The following is a 17,458-nucleotide window of genomic DNA, read 5'->3' on the forward strand; positions in this document are numbered from 1 at the left end:
GTGTATTTTAGGGGGACTAATATGGCAACTAAAGCTACTTTGGAAGAGAAAGAGTGGAGATACATAGATTGCTATTATAGTTCAGGCCAATAGAGAGGAATTGGGTTTAAGAGATACATTATGGAGGCAGAAGTGTTCATTCAACAAGCGTTTGTTAAATATCTACTATGTAATCATGATTATACAACTAGAGAGAATATGAAAAAAATGAATTACGTATGTTAGCTTATAGATGGATGCTCTCAGTACCCATCCCTATTAATCGTCATTTCCCTTTGTTTAGTGAACCTTCTGATATATTGGATATCAAATATCCTTTCCAAGTATTGTCTGTCCCACTTAATTCTGGTATCCATGAATGCAGAAGTGTGCTATTTATGTAATCATGAACACTCATGTATATGTGTATACCTTCATTCATTCAACATGTGTTAAAACTATTATGTAACAGGCATCATGTTAGGCCTTGGAACACAAAGGTGAACAACATGATTCCTGCTCTTAAGTTGCTTACAAAGATCATGGATGAAGATATTAAATGATAATTAAAGCTGATTGATCTACCTTGTAATACATAAGTGTTTTATAAAATATCTATAGCCATAATAGTCATTGTTATTATTGACATGAGAAGACCAAACATTCTCATACATTATTTATTATGTTTCTAGTTTTTGTGTGTGTGTGATAGTGAACTGTATTATGTTATCTTTTCTTGGGTTCATTAGTGGGAAAAGCTCATATTCCCAAAGCATTTTGCTCACATCTCTATTAGAGCCCCATTACCTTATATTGTAATTATTGCTTACTTGTCTCTTTTCTACTAGGCTGGAGCTCCAGGCAAGTAGCTCTTTTTGTTTGTTTTTGAATCTCTCTGAATCTAGTAAGTTCTGACATGTCTTGGTTGAATGAATTTTATTTTACTTTTATAGAAAGTCATTACTAATACAAATACGAGACCTTTTGTTTATTGGAAACATTTATCTACTTTAAAAATATATATGTTTGTGGAAAAACTTATTGAACTGTGCTGCTTGGCTTAGTTATTTTGGCACATGTTCACTTCTCTGGAAACAAATTACTGTTAGTCCAAGAAACTGAAGAAATGGTACCCATGAGAATAAAATTAATCTCAATATACTGAACATCTGCACCTAATTTGTTTTTCATTTAGAACCATCAGTTTAATCCAAGAAAGCAATTGGTCATACCTTTTCTGGGCTTCTCACAAAAGATATCTAATTGTTAGAAATGTTTTGCTCCAGGGAGGCTACTATTTCTCTGACTTCTACTGATACATTTGTTAATAAGGATAAAAAAGCTTTAGAAATATTAGTATATGTTAATAGTTATGCATGTTTAATCTTCCAGGAGGTTATTTATTTGGCTTCAAGAAGCTTAAGACTACCCACTTTGACAAATTATATCACAGTAAACACAAAAATTAAAGAACCTTCTGGTTGTGGCTGCATTGTCCTTTTTTTAAATTCATAAATAATTCTCAGTTCATCTATGAAAATTGAATGTTTATTTTCAGTTTTCAAGGTACGCTGTTTCCATGTTACTGATTTACAAAAAGGAGAAAGAATACCTCTGAAACTTTTCAGGAACACTTATACCAGGTAACACTATTAGGTTTTCTTATTTTGCAGATGCACACACAAACACAACAAACAATCCACGCCCCAGTCCCCTTCAGCTCTGTATTCCCCCTCAGTACATATATAGCTCTACCATAACTCATCACCACAGTTTATTGGAGATTTTGTTTATCTAGGTCTCACGCCCAGTAAAGCTATTTGAAGGCAGTGACCATGTCTTATTTGATTTCATAGTTACAGTCCTAGCATAGCTTCTGCCACTTAATAAAGACAGTAATTTATTTAAGGAATACATGAATGAATGAATGAATGAATGAATGAATGAATGAATCAGTAAATGTGAATATCAAATAGATTTAATATGAAGGGCATGGCCTTCAAGACTGTTGAAATTTAAATGAATAATTATATTTATTCCTTTTCACTATCCACTCCCTGCCCTTACAATTTTGCAATCAGGATTTTTTAAGATTTTCTGTGAGCTTAATTTCTTAATAAACAATGCTCTTGTATGCCTCAATTTCTTCATCTATAAAATGGAATAATACATCCTATCTTCTATGTAGGGATGATGAGTCCTTAGATATAAAGCATTCTGTTTGTTGGAGAAATTTATTCTCAAGGACTACATTATCAATATTATTGCTATTAGTCACACTACAATGTAGGTGCAAACATCAAATTACTGTTTAGAGATCAGCAGATGTCAGAGATAGAAAGGCTCTTTGGGATCTTCTTGTCCAATTTGTCCTTGGATGAGGAAACTGAACTCTACTCCTTTTACATCTCTTCTCTTTAAAAATTACTGTACTCACATTCTCTTTGCCTTTGCATATGCCTGGAATTTTTTTTTTTTAATTATCTTAAGCATAGAGATAAGAAAGAACAGGGCCTGGTGCCATGGCTCACGCCTGTAATCTCAGCAATTTGGGAGGATGAGGCAGGAGGATCACCTGAGGTCAGGAATTTGAGACCAGCCTGGCCAACATGGTGAAACCCCATCTCTACTAAAAATACAAAACTTAGCTGGGCGTGATGGTGCGTGCCTATAATCCCAGCTACTCAGGAGGCTGAGGCAGGAGAATCGCTTGAACCTGGGAGGCGGAAGTTGCAGTGAGCGGATATTGCACCACTGCACTCCAGCCTGGGCAACAGAGTGAGACTCCATCTCAAAAAAACAAAAACAAACAAAAAACAATGGAGAACTGAGAAAACATTAGGTACCTAATACCTCGAAGAGATCAAACTCAGTATTTCTTATTTTTGCTTCAGAATTTTTAAACAAAACTATAGATTCACTTGAAGTCTTCCATTTATCTTCCAAAACCCTTCTTTCCCTGTCTCCTCAGTCTGTCTTGATTTTGTTGGTTTCAATTCCCATGCATATGTTTCTACCTTTACTTTATGTGTGTGTGTGTGTGTGTGTGTGTACATGTGCACATACACTATTATGGGTAAACCATATTATTTTGCATCTTTAAATTAATGGTATTATACTGTGTGACATTTACCAACTTGCTTTTTCAACTTAATATTATGTATTTGAAACTTCTTCATGTTGAAACATGTAGCCCTATTTCATAAAAGATTATATCCAGATGCCTAAAAGACACATGAGATGGTACACAACATCATTACTAATTAGAAGCAAATTAAAACTCCAATGAGATACTACTACATGACCAGTGGAATGTATAAAGTAAAAAAGTCTGGCAATCAATATTGATTGATGGTGAAGATATGGAGCAACTGGAGCTCCCCAACATTTTTGTTGAGAATGTATATTGGTACATTCACTCTCGCAAACTATCTGACTATATCTGCCAAAGCTACACACACACACACACACACACACACACACACACACACACATACACACATCCCTCATCTCAATTCATGCTCCCAGCCCCGGTAATACCTAAGAAAAATAAGTGCCTCTTTCTACTAGAAGACATGTATGAGAATTACATGATAGTTTTATTTAGAAAAGCAAACATTCCTTTTTTTAACTTCTATTTTTCCATAAGTTATTGGGGGTAAAAGTGGTATTTGGTTACATGAGTAAGTTCTCTAGTGGAGATTTGTGAGAACCTGGTACACCCATCGCCCGAGCAGTATATGCCGCACCATATTTGTTGTCTTTTATCCCTTGCCCCCATTCCACTCTTCCCCCCAAGTCCCCAAAGTCCACTGTATCATTCTTAGGCCTTTGCATCCTCATAGCTTAGCTCCCACATATCAGTGAGAACATATGATGTTTGGTTTTCCATTCCTGAGTTACTTTACTTAGAATAATAGTCTCTAATCTCATCCAGGTCATTGCAAATGCTGTTAATTCATTCCTTTTTAAGGCTGAGTAGTATTCCATTGTGTATATCTATACACCAGAGTTTCTTTATCCACTCGTTGATTGATGGGCATTTGGGTTGGTTCCACAATTTTGCTATTGTGAATTGTGCTGCTATAAACATGTGTGAGCAAGTATCTTTTTCGTATGATGACTTCTTTTCCTCTGGGTAGATACCGAGTAATGGGATTGCTGGATCAAATTGTAGTTCTACTTTTAGTTCCTTAAGGAATCTCCACACTGTTTTCCATAGCGGCTGTACTAGTTTACATTCCCACCAGCAGTGTAGAAGTGTTCCCTGAACGCCCCATCCATGCCAACATCTACTGTTTTTTTATTCTTTGATTATGGCCATTCTTACAGGAGTAAGGTGGTATTGTGTTGTGGTTTTGATTTGCATTTCCCTGATCATTAGTGATGTTGAGCATTTTTTCATGTTTTTTGGTCATTTGTGTAACTTCTTTATAAAAGCAAATATTCTTAATAGTGCAGACAACCCAAATACGTACCAACAGGTGAATGAGTAGCTAAATTGTGATGTATTCCTACAATGGAACACTGCATGAATGAACTGCTGACACGTTCAACCACATAAGTTAATTTCATAGACATTATGTTGAGTGGAACAAGTCAGACACTTATAAAAAATTTATTTGCTGTTCATATCAACCTCAGGAACAAGAAAAACTAATCTATGGTGAGTCAAATCAGATTTGTGGTTACCTAAAAGATGGGTAATATACTGAGAAGAATATGAATAAGCTTTCAGGGGTGCTGAAAATGTTCTGGATCGGTGTGTGTGTTGGTTACATTAAAAGGTACCAGTCTGTATGCTTAAGATTTATGCACTTTACTGTATATGTTATATTCTCAATTTTTAAAGTATTATTTAAAAAATGATAAAATGTTCAGAACTTGGTAGACATTATTTGTAGGGAAGGTAAGGGAGGACGGAACCAAGAATGGTTCCTGACCTAGACTGTTAAGCACTCAGGTCAAATTTCCCCCATCCTTAGCCTCAGGAGCTATATGAAAGCCCTGTGTCTATGCTCTTATCCAGGGGTTCTTAGATGAACATGCAGCAGAATCACTTGGAGAACTTGTTAAAACATAGACGTCTGGGCCCCACCACCAGTGTTTTTAATTCAGCAGGGCTGGTGTGGGGCCAGAGAATGTGCTTATCTAACAAGCTCCCAGGTGATGGTGATGATGTAGGCAACACACTTTGAGAATCACTACTCTATTCTGCTTATACCATTTGTCTTTGCTGCATTTTCAATGCTATTGGCTCCATAACCTCTAGATACCTATCCTGTTTTACTGGGGACTCTTTTGACTGGTATTCCTAGCTCTTGATGACATGACTCATAGAGGTAGGATATACTAGTCCAGGTACAATTTTGAGAGGAAGTTATCGAGTTCAGTTGTGAAAAATGGAATTTTAGGCTTCGGTGATAATGACTAGTATGAATTGTGATAGTTTGCATCTCCAAAGTAAGGTCTTGGCTGGAGTTATTAGTATACATATAGAAACCATAGAAGTAGTTGAAGGGCTCAGGTATGGTTTATAGATGGGAAGAGGACTAGAAATAGAAAACACCAATATTTAAGGTTTATTTACAGAAAATAAACTTACAAAGGAGACAGTACAAGATAGGAGAAGAACTAGATCAGAGTGGTGTTATGGAGCCAGAGGGACAGGTTTCAAGCAGAAGAGGATCCATTTGTTTCATCTTTTTTACTATGATGCTAAGATTTGAATAGTTCCTTTTCCACTAAATGACTCAATAAATGGATGGATATAAATATGATAAGAATTAAAAGGCTTCCACTGGATTTTTCAGTTAGAAAGTGACCTTAGCAAGAGCAATGGTATTTAGTGGACACACAAGCTAGATATATATCACTGTTGAGTAAACAGGAAATGAGGATATGGAGACAGTACGAGTGATTGATTAATGGGGTTATTGATCAGGAAAAGTATGGACGGAAGAAATTGTGGTGGGAAAATTTTTAATAAATAATAATCTCTCCCAGTATAACCGTCACCCACTTTCAATAAATATTAATTCATAAACTTGTTTCTGTAGACTTCAAACTGTTTTATTATATATTCTATTATTTCATCCATAAATATTTCAGTATATTTATAATTCATATATCCCCACGATATCATTGTACCAAAAAGAAATTAGTGATAATTCTGTAATATTATTAAATACCTAATCAGTGTTCAAATTTTCCTGATTATATCTCAAACATTTTTTTACAGTTGATTTATTCAAATCAGGACCTAAACAAGGTCTATACATTGTATTTGGTTGATAAGTCTTTTAAGTCTCTTGTAATCTAATAGATGAGAGATATTTGAACACGTTTAAATGTTAAGGAAAAGGAGACATCAAAAATTTAGGAGAAAGAATGGATTATTGATGGATCAAAGTCGCTGGGGAGATGGGAACAGAAAGGACAGTCGGGTCTGGGCACAGTAGCTCACGCGTGTAATCCCAGTGCTTTGGGAGGCTGAGGTGGGCAGATCACCTGAAGTCAGAAGTTCAAGACCAGCCTGGCCAACATGGTGAAACCCCATCTCTAATAAAAATACAAAAATTAGCCAGGTGTAGTGACACACGCCTGTAATCCCAGCTGTGCGGGAGGCTGAGGCAGGAGAATCACTTGAACTCAGGAAGCAGTGGTTGCAGTGAGCCGTGATCGCGCCACTGTACTCCAGCCTGGTCAGCAGAGGGAGACTCCTTCTCAAAAAAAAAGGACAGACAGTTGGAAAGTTTAGATACACAGTAGGAAAGTTTGTTCAATGAATGAGTATGCTATGAACTTAGAATGTATCTGAATATTCTTGACAATCAATTATAAAATATGAAAACTGGAAGGGCCTTGGAAATTATTCTTATTTTACACATGGGAAAACAAGGAGTTCTAGGTTTTCTTTTGATTAGAGGGAGATGTTTTGTCCCTAAAGCAGGGGAGACTGGATAGGAAAGGAAACCTTAGGAATATAGGGGACCACTGCTGCTCCTCTCACACCTCCCCAGACCCTAACACCCTTGGTTCCATTAAACTCCTAAACTTGGGCTTCAGGAACAGAGGAAGTGAGAAAGCTAGTGTTTAATGATAACTTGTTTTTTCACTGCATAACAAGGACCTTGTTATTTTCTGGTGCTCTGCAGAGTAAATATAGCATAATGAAAAAGAAATGGTATCTGGTATCAGAATTTATAAGATCTATATTCGAGTCATAATTCAAAGACATTTGGTACTCTGTGACCTTGAGCAGGTAGTTTAACTCTCTAAGCCTCTGTAAAATGGAGATAATATTTCTAACATACTTACATCATAAGATTGTAAGTATGAAAATACATTGAAATACTGATTGATGTGTATGCCAAAGACCCTGAAAGGCAGCAAAGTTATACATAGTGTTTACAAATATATATGAGTATGAAACATCTGAAAACCATATAAATAATCTCTTTTGCAAATATAGGTACTTTTTCCAATTGTATTTAAAAGTTGATGTGATTAATTGATGTGATTAAGAAAATGGCATTTCATTTAAAATTGTAGCTGAATTCAATTCTCATATTTTTTCAATGAACCAACAAATACTAAATTTAAACATTAAGGTTCTACTGAATTTTTTGTAGGATTTTTTTGCTGTTTTTTAACTTTAAAAAGAGTTAAACTTTAAAAGACTGAGAGTCAACGTAATAATATATGTGTATAAAGTGCTTTATTTATAAGTAACTTTAATTGAGAATAACAGCAAGTAGGTATAGCCATCTAGTGACTTTAACTTTCTTTTTAAAATATATGTAACTCCTCAGCCAGGCATGGTGGCTCATGTCTGTAATCCCAATACTTTGGGAGGCTGAGGCAGGTGGATCACCTGAGGTGAGGAGTTCGAGACCAGCCTGGCCAATGTGGTGAAACCCCATCTCTACTAAAAATACAAAAATTAGCTGGGCGTGGTGGCACGTGCCTATAATCCCAGCTACTCGGGAGGCTGAGGCAGGAGAATCGCTTGAACCCAGTGGGTAGAAGTTGCAGTGAGCCGAGATCGTGCCATTGCACTCCAGCTAGGGTGACAAGAGCGAAATTCCGTCTCAAAAAAAAATTTTATATATATATATATCCTTATACATTTAACCCTCAGAGCAACATCTTTTTATTCTTTAATTGGAAACATTAGATTTGAGTTGAAGAAACATTATCATATACTTCAACCATTAATGTTTCTGTACCCAGCTTCTACCCTTTCCGGCTCTGTCATTTGCTCAAACAAATCTGTCTTATTTAAATCAAAAGAGTTGCATATAGGCACTTTTGATAAAGAGTCTTTAACCTTGAAATTTTATTGATTTCGACTTTTGTTTTTAAATTATTTTTATTGATGGTTTCCTTTTTTTTTTTTTTTTTTCCTTTCAAGAGAGAGTCTCGCTCTGTCACCCAGGCTGGAGTGCAGCAGCACGATCTCGGCTCACTGCAACGTCTGCCTCCTGGGTTCAAGCGATTCTCCTGCCTCAGTCTCCGAAGTAACAGGGATTACAGGGGCCTGCCACCACGCCTGGATAATTTTTGTATTTTTAGTAGAGATGGGTTTCACCATGTTGGTCAGGCTGGTCTTGAACTCCTGACCTCAAGCAATCCACCTGCCTCAGCCTCCCAAAGTGCTGGGATTACAGGCGTGAGCCACCGCGCCCGGCCTTATTGATGGTTTTCCTTGTCAAAACATTATTTAATCAAAACAGATGAAAGCATGTAGGGAGAGATTTCTTTTACAAACATATTTTGTGCTTCTTTGTTTTATATTATAGGGTACAGAAATGACTTATTTGTTGTTGTTGTTTTCATGATGCACAATGTGACCTAATTTACCTAGGCTTACTCTTTTCTCAGTTCTCGTACTTCTGTGTTTCTCTGATTCATTGATATATTGACCACTTGTTCATTTCAGAATTTTCTCTGGACTTTGATACTGCAGTAACTTATTTTTCTGCTACTCCTTTGATAGTTCATTGTTTTCTTTATTAACTCCTTTCCTTTAACTCCCATTTCTGCCCCAAGATAAAAGTCTTTCTATATATTCTACCTTTCAGAGGTCTCATCTACTTCTATAAGTTTCGGCTATTTTCCCTCAAATATTTGTCTCTAGCCCTAGCCTCTCCCCTTATTCCAGACTTATATTTCCAGCTATCTTCTAGAAATCTCTACCTGGATATCTTCCCAAAATCTCAATTTCAGCATATCTGAAACAAGACCTTACCTTTTAACCTGTAATCAGTCCCGTCATCTGATTTTTAAAAACAATTTATTGAGGTGAAATACACATAGCATAAAATTAACCCTTTTTTTGTGGGGGGAGATAGAGTCTCACTTTGTCACCCAGGCTGGAGTGCAGTGGTGTGATCAGGGCTCACTGCAGCTTCAACCTCCTGGATTCAAGTGATCCTCCTGCCTCAGCCCCCAAGTAGCTGGGACTATAGGCACGTACCACTACGCCCAGCTAATTTTTGTATTTTTTATAGAGACAGGGGTTTCGCCTTATTGCCTGGGCTGGTCTCAAACTCCTGAGCTCAAGCTATCAGCCCGCCTTGGCCCACCAAAATGTTAGGATTACAGGCATGAGCCACCGCACCCAGACAAAATAACCACTTTAAAGTGAGCAATTCAGAGAAATTTTGTACATTCGTTATGTTGTGCAACCACTACCTCTATCTAGTTCCAAAGCATTTCCATCACTCTCAAGTAAAACCACTTATCCATTAAACAGTTTGTCTCCATTGCCCTCTCTCCCTAGCCCCTGGCAACCACCAGTATGCATTCTGTTTCTATGGATTTATAGATATTTCATGTAAAAAGGAATCATATATGACCTTTGTTTCATGCACGTCTGTGTAAAGAGACCACCAAACAGGCTTTGTGTGAGCAACAAGGCTATTTATTTCACCTGGGTGCAGGCGGGCTGAGTCTGAAAAGAGTCAGTGAAGGAAGATGGGGTGGAGCTGTTTTATAAGATTTGGGTAGGTAAAGGAAAATTACAGTCAAAGGGGGGTTGTTCTCTGGCGGGCAGGAGTGGGGGTCACAAGGTGCTCAGTAGGGGAGCTTTTGAGCCAGGATGAGCCAGGAGAAGGAATTTCACAAGATAATGTCATCAGTTAAGGCAAGAATAGGCCATTTTCATTTCTTTTGTGGTGGAATGTCATCAGTTAAGGCAGGAACCGGCCATCTGGATGTGTACGTGTAGGTCACAGGAGATATGATGGCTTAGCTTGGGCTCAGAGGCCTGACATTCCTGTCTTCTTATATTAATAAGAAAAATAAAACAAAATAGTGGTGAAGTGTTGGGACAGCGAAAATTTTGGGGGATGGTACGGAGAGATAATGGGCGATGTTTCTTAGGGCTGCTTCGAGCGGAATTAGGGGCGGTGTGGGAACCTAGAATGGGAGAGATTAAGCTGAAGGAAGATTTTGTGGTAAGGGGTGATATTGTGGGACTGTTAGGAGAAACGTTCGTCATTTAGAATTACTGGTGATGGCCTAGATACGGTTTTGTATGAATTGAAAAACTAAATGGAATAAGAGAAGGAGAAAAACAGGTATTAAAGGACTAAGAATTGGGAGGACCTAGGACATTTAATTAGAGAGTGCCTAAGGAGGTTCAGCATAGTTCTGCCAGCAAAGATTATTTATTTACTTCAAGAGTTAAGAGTGGCAGTTTGGGGATAGCTCCAGGAGATATCAGCTGTGATGGCTTGGAGAAACAGTGTAAACCAGCAGTGTAAACAAGAGCAGGGCATGTGTGAGTAGTTGAGAACAGTGAATAGGAGTATGATTAGACAGAAGATAGTAGGGATGACAAGTTTTTTGGGGCACAGTCCAAGTTGGTCTTGGAATGATACTGGGGCCTAATAAAAAGGAGCATCTATACAGGAGCTTAAATGAGCTGTACCTTGTAACATTCTGAGGACAGGCCTGAATTCTGAGAAGGGAAAGTGGTAAAAGTATTGTCTAGTCCTTTTTAAGTTGGTGGCTGAGCTTGGTGAGGTGTGTTTTTAAAAGACCGTTAGTCCATTCTACCTTTCCTGAAGACTGAGGACCGTAAGGGAAATAAAGGTTTCACTGAATACCAAGAGCCTGAAAAAATGCTTGGCTGATTTGACTAATAAAGGCCGGTCTGCTATCAGACTGTATAGAGGTGGGAAGGCCAAACCGAGGAATTATGTCTAACAGAAGGGAAAAAATGACCGCGGTGGCCTTCTCAGACCCTGTAGGAAAGGCCTCTACCCATCCAGTGAAAGCGTCTACCTAGACTAAGAGGTATTTTAGTTTTCTGACTCGGGGCACGTGAGTAAAGTCAACTTGCCAGTCCTGGGCAGGGGCAAATCTCCGAGCTTGATATGTAGGAAAGGGAGGAGGCCTGAACAATCCCTGAGGGGTAGTAGAATAGCAAATGGAACACTGAGAAGTGATTTCTTTGAGGATAGATTTCCAGGATGGAAAGGAAATGAGAGGTTCTAAGAGACGGGCTAGCGGCTTGTAACCTACATGGAAGAGGTTATGAAATGACGACAGAATAGAATGGGCCTGTGAGGCTGGAAGGAGATATTTTCCTTGGTCTAAGAACCATTTGCCTTCTGTGGGAAGAGATTGATAGGTGGAAGTTTCAGTGGGGGAGTAGGTGGGAGTGACTGACGTGAAGGAGAAAAACTGGCTGTGAGGGACAGAAGTTGGAATGCTAGCTGCTTGTCTAGCCACCTAATCAGCGTAAGCGTCGCCTAGAGCAATGGGATCTGATGCCTTTTGATGCCCCTTGCAGTGAATGACTCTAGCTTCCTTTGGAAGTTAAGCGGCGTTGAGAAGCGTTTTTATTAAAGAGGGATTAATGATAGAGGACCCTTGTTTAGTGAGGAAACTTCTTGCATGGTGGTGCACGATATGAAAGGCATATTTAGAGTCAGTATAAATATTGACGCATAGTCCTTTTGCAAGAGTGAGGGCTTGGGTTAAGGCAACTAGTTCGGCTTGCTGAGAGGTAGTGGAGGGGGGCAGAGCGGTAGCCTCAATGATAGATGTGGAAGATACTATAGCATAGCCTGCCTTTGCTGGTGAGTGGCATTTAGGCCTGGTGGAACTGCCATCAATAAACCAAATGTGATTAGGGTGAGGAACAGGAAAGAAGGAAATACGGGGAAATGGGGTGAATGTCAGGTGGATCAGAGAGATACAGTCATGAGGGTCAGGTGTGGTATCCAGAATAATGTGGGAGGCCGGGTTGAAGTCCGTGCCAGGAACAATGGTAATTGTGGGAGACTCAACAAAGAGTGAATATAGCTGAAGGAGCCAGGGAGCAGAGAGTATATGCATCAGGTATGAGGAAGAAAATAGATTTTGGAAGTTATGAGAACTGTAGAGAGTCAGTTGAGCATACTTTGTGATTTTTAGGGCCTTTAAAAGTATTAAGGCAGCGGCAGCCGCTGCATGCAGACATGAGGGTTGGGTTAAAACAGTAAGGTCCAGTTGTTTGGACAGAAAGGCTATAGGACGTGGTCCCAGCTCTTGTGTAAGAATTCTGACCTTACTAACCATGCCTAGGAAGGAAAGGAGTTGTTGTTTTGTAGAAGGGATTGGGGTTTGGGAGATTAGCCGGAGACGATAATCAGGGAGAGCACGTGTGTTTTTATGAGAATTATGCTGAGATAGGTAACAGATGAGGAAGAAATTTGGGCTTGACTGAAGTAATGGGGGCTGTCTGTGAAGCCTTGCAGCAGTACAGCCTAAGTAATTTGCTGAGCCTGATGGGTGTCAGGGTCAGTACAAGTGAAAGCGAAGAGAGGCTGGGATGAAGGGTGCAAAGGAATAGCAAACAAAGCATGTTTGAGATCTAGAACAGAATAATGGGTTGTGGAGGGAGGTATTGAGGATAGGAGAGTATATGGGTTTGGCACCACGGGGTAGATAGGCAAAACAATTTGGTTGATAAGGCGCAGATCCTGAACTAACCTGTAAGCCTTGTCTGGTTTTAGGACAGGTAAAATGGGGGAATTGTAAGGGGAGTTTATAGGCTTTAAAAGGCCATGCTGTAGCAGGCGAGTAATAGCAGGCTTTAATCCTTTTGAAGCGTGCTGTGGGATGGGATATTGACATTGAGCAGGGTAAGGGTGATTAGGTTTTAATGGGATGGTAAGGGGTGCAGGATCGGTCACTAAGGAGGGAGTAGGGGTGTCTTATACTTGTGGGTTAAGATGGGGAGATACAAGGGGAGGATGTGAAGGAGGCTTTGAACTGGGGGAAAAGGCAGCGATGAGGTGTGGCTGTAGCCCAGGAATAGTCAGGGAAGCAGATAATTTAGTTAAAGTGTCGGCCTAATAAGGGAACTGGGCAGGTGGGGATAACTAAAAAGGAGTGCTTAAAAGAGTATTGTCTAAGTTGGCACCAGAGTTGGGGAGTTTTAAGAGGTTTAGAAGCCTGGCCGTCAGTACCTGCAACAGTTATGGAGGCAAGGGAAACAGGCCCTTGAAAAGAAGGTAATGTGGAGTGGGTAGCTTCCATATCGATTAAGAAGGGGACGGACTTACCTTCCACTGTGAGAGTTACCTGAAGCTCGGCGTCCGTGATGGTTTAGGGGGCTTCCGAGGCGATCGGGCAGTGTCAGTCTTCAGCTGCTAAGCCGAGAAGATCTGGGAAGGAGTCACTCAGAGAGCCTTGGGCCAGAGTTCTAGGGGCTCTGGGAGTGGCTGCCAGGTGAGTTGAACAGTCTGATTTTCAGTGGGGTCCTACACAGATGGGACACGGCTTAGGAGGAATCCTGGGCTGCGGGCATTCCTTGTCCCGGTGGCCAGATGTCCGGCACTTGTAGCAAGCTTCTTGGGGAGGAGGTTCTGGAGGAACTCCTGGCTGCTGTGGTTCAGGTGTTTGGAAGTTCTTGTGTGCTGGTGATGTGGCTGGGATATGTCTCACAGTGGAGGCAAGGAATTGCAACTTTTTTCTATTATTGTACACCTTGAAGGCGAGGTTAATTAAGTCCTGTTGTGGGGTTTCAGGGCCGGAATTTAATTTTTGGAGCTTTATTTAAAGTCAGGAGCTGACTGGGTAATCAAATGTATATTGAGAATAAGATGGCCTTTTGACCTTTTAGGGTCTAGGGCTGTAAAGCGTCTCAGGGTTGCTGCCAAACGAGCCATGAACTGGGCTGGGTTTTTCATATTTGATGAAAAAGAGCCTAAAGGCTAACTGATTTGGGAGAGGTCGGATAAAGAAAAAGGAGCATTAACCTTGACTATGCCTTTAGCTCCAGCCACTTTCCTAAGAGGAAATTGCTGGGCAGGTAGGGGAGGGCTAGTCGCGGAACAAAACTGTAAGCCAGACTGGGTGTGAGGAGGGGAGATGATAGAAGGATTATAGGGTGGAGGAGCTGAGGCTGAGGAAGAATTGGGACTTAGCTCGGCCTGGCGACAAGCAGCCTGGGGAGGAGGGGAAAGGTCAGATGGGTCTGTAGAAAAGGAAGACTGGAAAGACTCAGCGACGCTTGGGGTTGGGACTGAGGGGACAGCCAGGAGGGAAAGAAGGAGGATTGGGGAGGAATCACATTGGGAACAGAGACTAGGGAGGGAACAACGTGTAGAAGAATGCCTGGACGTCAGGCACCTCAGACCATTTGCCTATTTTACAACAAGAATTATCTAGATCTTGTAGGATGGAAAAATCGAAAGTGCCGTTTTCTGTCTATTTGGAACCACTGTTGAGTTTGTATTGGGGTCAAGCGGCATTGTAGAAGAAAATAAGTTGTTTAGGTTTTAGGTCAAGTGTGAGTTGAAGAGGTTTTAAGTTCTTGAGAACACAGGCTAAGGGAGAAGAAGGAGGAATGGAGGGTGGAAGGTTGCCCATAGTGAAGGAAGCAAGCCCAGAGAACAGAGTAGAGACACGGAGGGAAGGGGTTTGGGGGTTCTTACCTTCCAGAAAAGCAGGAAAGGGGTCGGGGCATGGAGATATAAGGGGTTGGGGTGCAGAGATAAGAGGTCAGGGCACAGAAATAAGGGATCAGGGCGCAGAGATAAGAGGTTGGGGCGTGGAAATAAGGGATGGGGTGCAGAGATAAGAAGTCAGGGCATGGAAATAAGGGATTGGGGTGCAAAGATAAGAGGTCAGGGCATGGAATTAAGGGATCGGGGCACAGAGATAAGAGGTTGGGGCATGGAAATAAGGGATCAGGGGGTTCTTGCCCCCTAGAAAAGTGGTACTTGCCACTAAGGGTGAAGGAGAAGGGGTTGGGGGGTTCTTGCCCCCCTGAAAAAGCAGAGAAGGGGTAGAGACACAGAGAGAAGGAGTTGGGAGGTTCTTGCCCCCCAGAAAAGCAGTACTTGCTGCTAAGGGTGAAGGACCAAGGCAGGCGTCCCCGTGTGGTCAGACACCTCTGAAACGTGGGTGAGTAATCAGGCAGTCGTCCCCACGTGATTAAACACCAAGGGAAGACTGTCTTCCCTAGTCTGTGACCAGCGCCGGAGTTTTGGGTCCACGGATAAAACGCGTCTCCTGTCTCTACCAGAAAAGGAAAGGAACTGAACTTAAGAGAAGGGAGAGATTGAAGGGTGGTACCAAGATTGAAAGGAGAAAGTGGTTGAGGGATAGTGAGAGAGGTTGGAGAAGAGATTAAGAAGAGGCGGCTTACCTGATTTAAAATTGGTGAGATGTTCCTTGGGCTGGTGGGTCTGAGGACCCGAGGTCGTAGGTGGATCTTTTTCACGGAGCAAAGAGCAGGAGGACAGGGGATTGATCTCCCAAGGGAGGTCCCCCCGATCCGAGTCACAGCACCAAATTTCATGCGCATCTGTGTAAAGAGACCAACAAGCAGGCTTTGTGTGAGCAGCAAGGCTGTTTATTTCACCTGGGTGCAGGCGGGCTGAGTCTGAAAAGAGAGTCAGTGAAGGAAGATGGGGTGGGGCCGTTTTGTAAGATTTGGGTAGGTAAAGGAAAATTACAGTCAAAGGGGGGTTGTTCTCTGGCAGGAGTGGGGGTCACAAGGTGCTCAGTAGGGGAGCTTTTGAGCCAGGATGAGCCAGGAGAAGGAATTTCACAAGATAATGTCATCAGTTAAGGCAAGAACAGGCCATTTTCATTTCTTTTGTGGTGGAATGTCATCAGTTAAGGCAGGAACCAGCCATCTGGATGTGTACGTGCAGGTCACAGGAGATATGATGGCTTAGCTTGGGCTCAGAGGCCTGACACTTTGTGTCTGGCTTTTTTTCACTTAGGATAATGTTTTTGAGGTTCATCCAAGCTGTCACATGTATCAGTACTTCATTCATTTTTATGGTTGAATAATATTTTCTTTTATAAAACCAGTGACACTATATTTAATTATTAAATTTTTTAAATGAGTCTAGAGTTTAAAAGACAGTTTGTTAGGTGAAATTAAGTGATTTAGAAAGGAAAGAGAAAATAACAGAGGTAGTATATTAGAATAAGCTTCTAGTTGACAATATATAGCTAACATATGGATGAATAATATTTTCTGTTGTGTGTATATACCGCAATTTATTTATTCCTTCATCCAAGTGCTGTTTCCACTATTGTGAATAGTGCTTCCGTCAACGTAGGTGTACATATACTTGTTTGAGTACCTGTTTTCAATTCCTTCATTTGATTGTCCTTCATCAACTTATGGTACTGTATTCTTTTAGTCACTGGAGTTTAAAAACTGCATGGCATGTAGTAGGTGCTAAATATATGTTGGTTGAATGGATTTATTAAATTAATGTGTTGAATTGTTATCATTCTCTTCTTTCCCCTTTACCTCTTCTGTCTAATCACATGTTAATTCAATTATAGACTTAACTCTGCCACAAACTGTATAACATTGGGCAAAACACAACTATATGCTTAGTTTTATATGCTTAGTCTTCTGTAGACCTCTATAGGCCCTCTACATACTCAGTCTTCTGTAAAATGACTTTCTTGAACCACAAACATAAAGTCAAAGACAACCTGGGAAATACATCTTCACTTACAACAGAGGGCAAATATGAATTGCTCCTTGGAATTGGTAAGCAACCTAGAGAAAAATCAGCAGTCAGTTTACATTAAAAGAAATTCAAATGACCCTCAAGCATATGAAAATATGTTCAAATATACGTATAAAAGTCATGCAGATTAAAACTGTGCTAAAATATTTTTTCTCACCTATTGCCTCATTGTGTTGGTGAGGCTGTGGATAAATAAGTTTTTTCATACTCTGCTCCTGGGATAGTTATCTAAATTGCAAATGCATATACCCTTTGACCAGGCAATTCCATTTCTGGTAATTTATCCTAAAAATAAGCCTGCACAAGTGAAAAATGATATATATAGAAGGTTTTTTATGGCAGCAATATTTACAAAAACAAGGTTGGAAGCAACCCAAATGCCCATCAAAAGGAATCTGGTTTAAAAAATATGGTACATTTATACAATGGAAAACTAGGGAACTGTGAAAAGAATGACGATGGTGTCTATT

General features: G+C 40.3%; 1 protein-coding gene across 4 annotated transcripts in view, besides 2 other annotated features; it reads left to right on the forward strand.

Annotated features, from left to right (window-relative positions):
* The window catches only part of INVS (inversin), a 202,933-nt gene that overhangs the window by 31,090 nt on the left and 154,385 nt on the right, over positions 1–17,458 (forward strand). The window lies entirely within an intron of this gene.
* Positions 9,874–10,447: an enhancer, noted in NCBI's record as "OCT4-NANOG hESC enhancer chr9:102902488-102903061 (GRCh37/hg19 assembly coordinates)". NCBI's record gives its function as "activates a minimal SCP1, AML or CMV promoter by ChIP-STARR-seq in naive H9 embryonic stem cells {active_cell/tissue: H9 hESC(naive)}" and the evidence as "EXISTENCE:reporter gene assay evidence [ECO:0000049][PMID:30033119]".
* Positions 15,687–16,345: an enhancer, noted in NCBI's record as "OCT4-NANOG-H3K27ac hESC enhancer chr9:102908301-102908959 (GRCh37/hg19 assembly coordinates)". NCBI's record gives its function as "activates a minimal SCP1, AML or CMV promoter by ChIP-STARR-seq in primed H9 embryonic stem cells {active_cell/tissue: H9 hESC(primed)}" and the evidence as "EXISTENCE:reporter gene assay evidence [ECO:0000049][PMID:30033119]".

The sequence above is a fragment of the Homo sapiens genome, chromosome 9 (genome assembly GCF_000001405.40).
Source record: "Homo sapiens chromosome 9, GRCh38.p14 Primary Assembly".
NCBI lineage: Eukaryota > Metazoa > Chordata > Mammalia > Primates > Hominidae > Homo > Homo sapiens.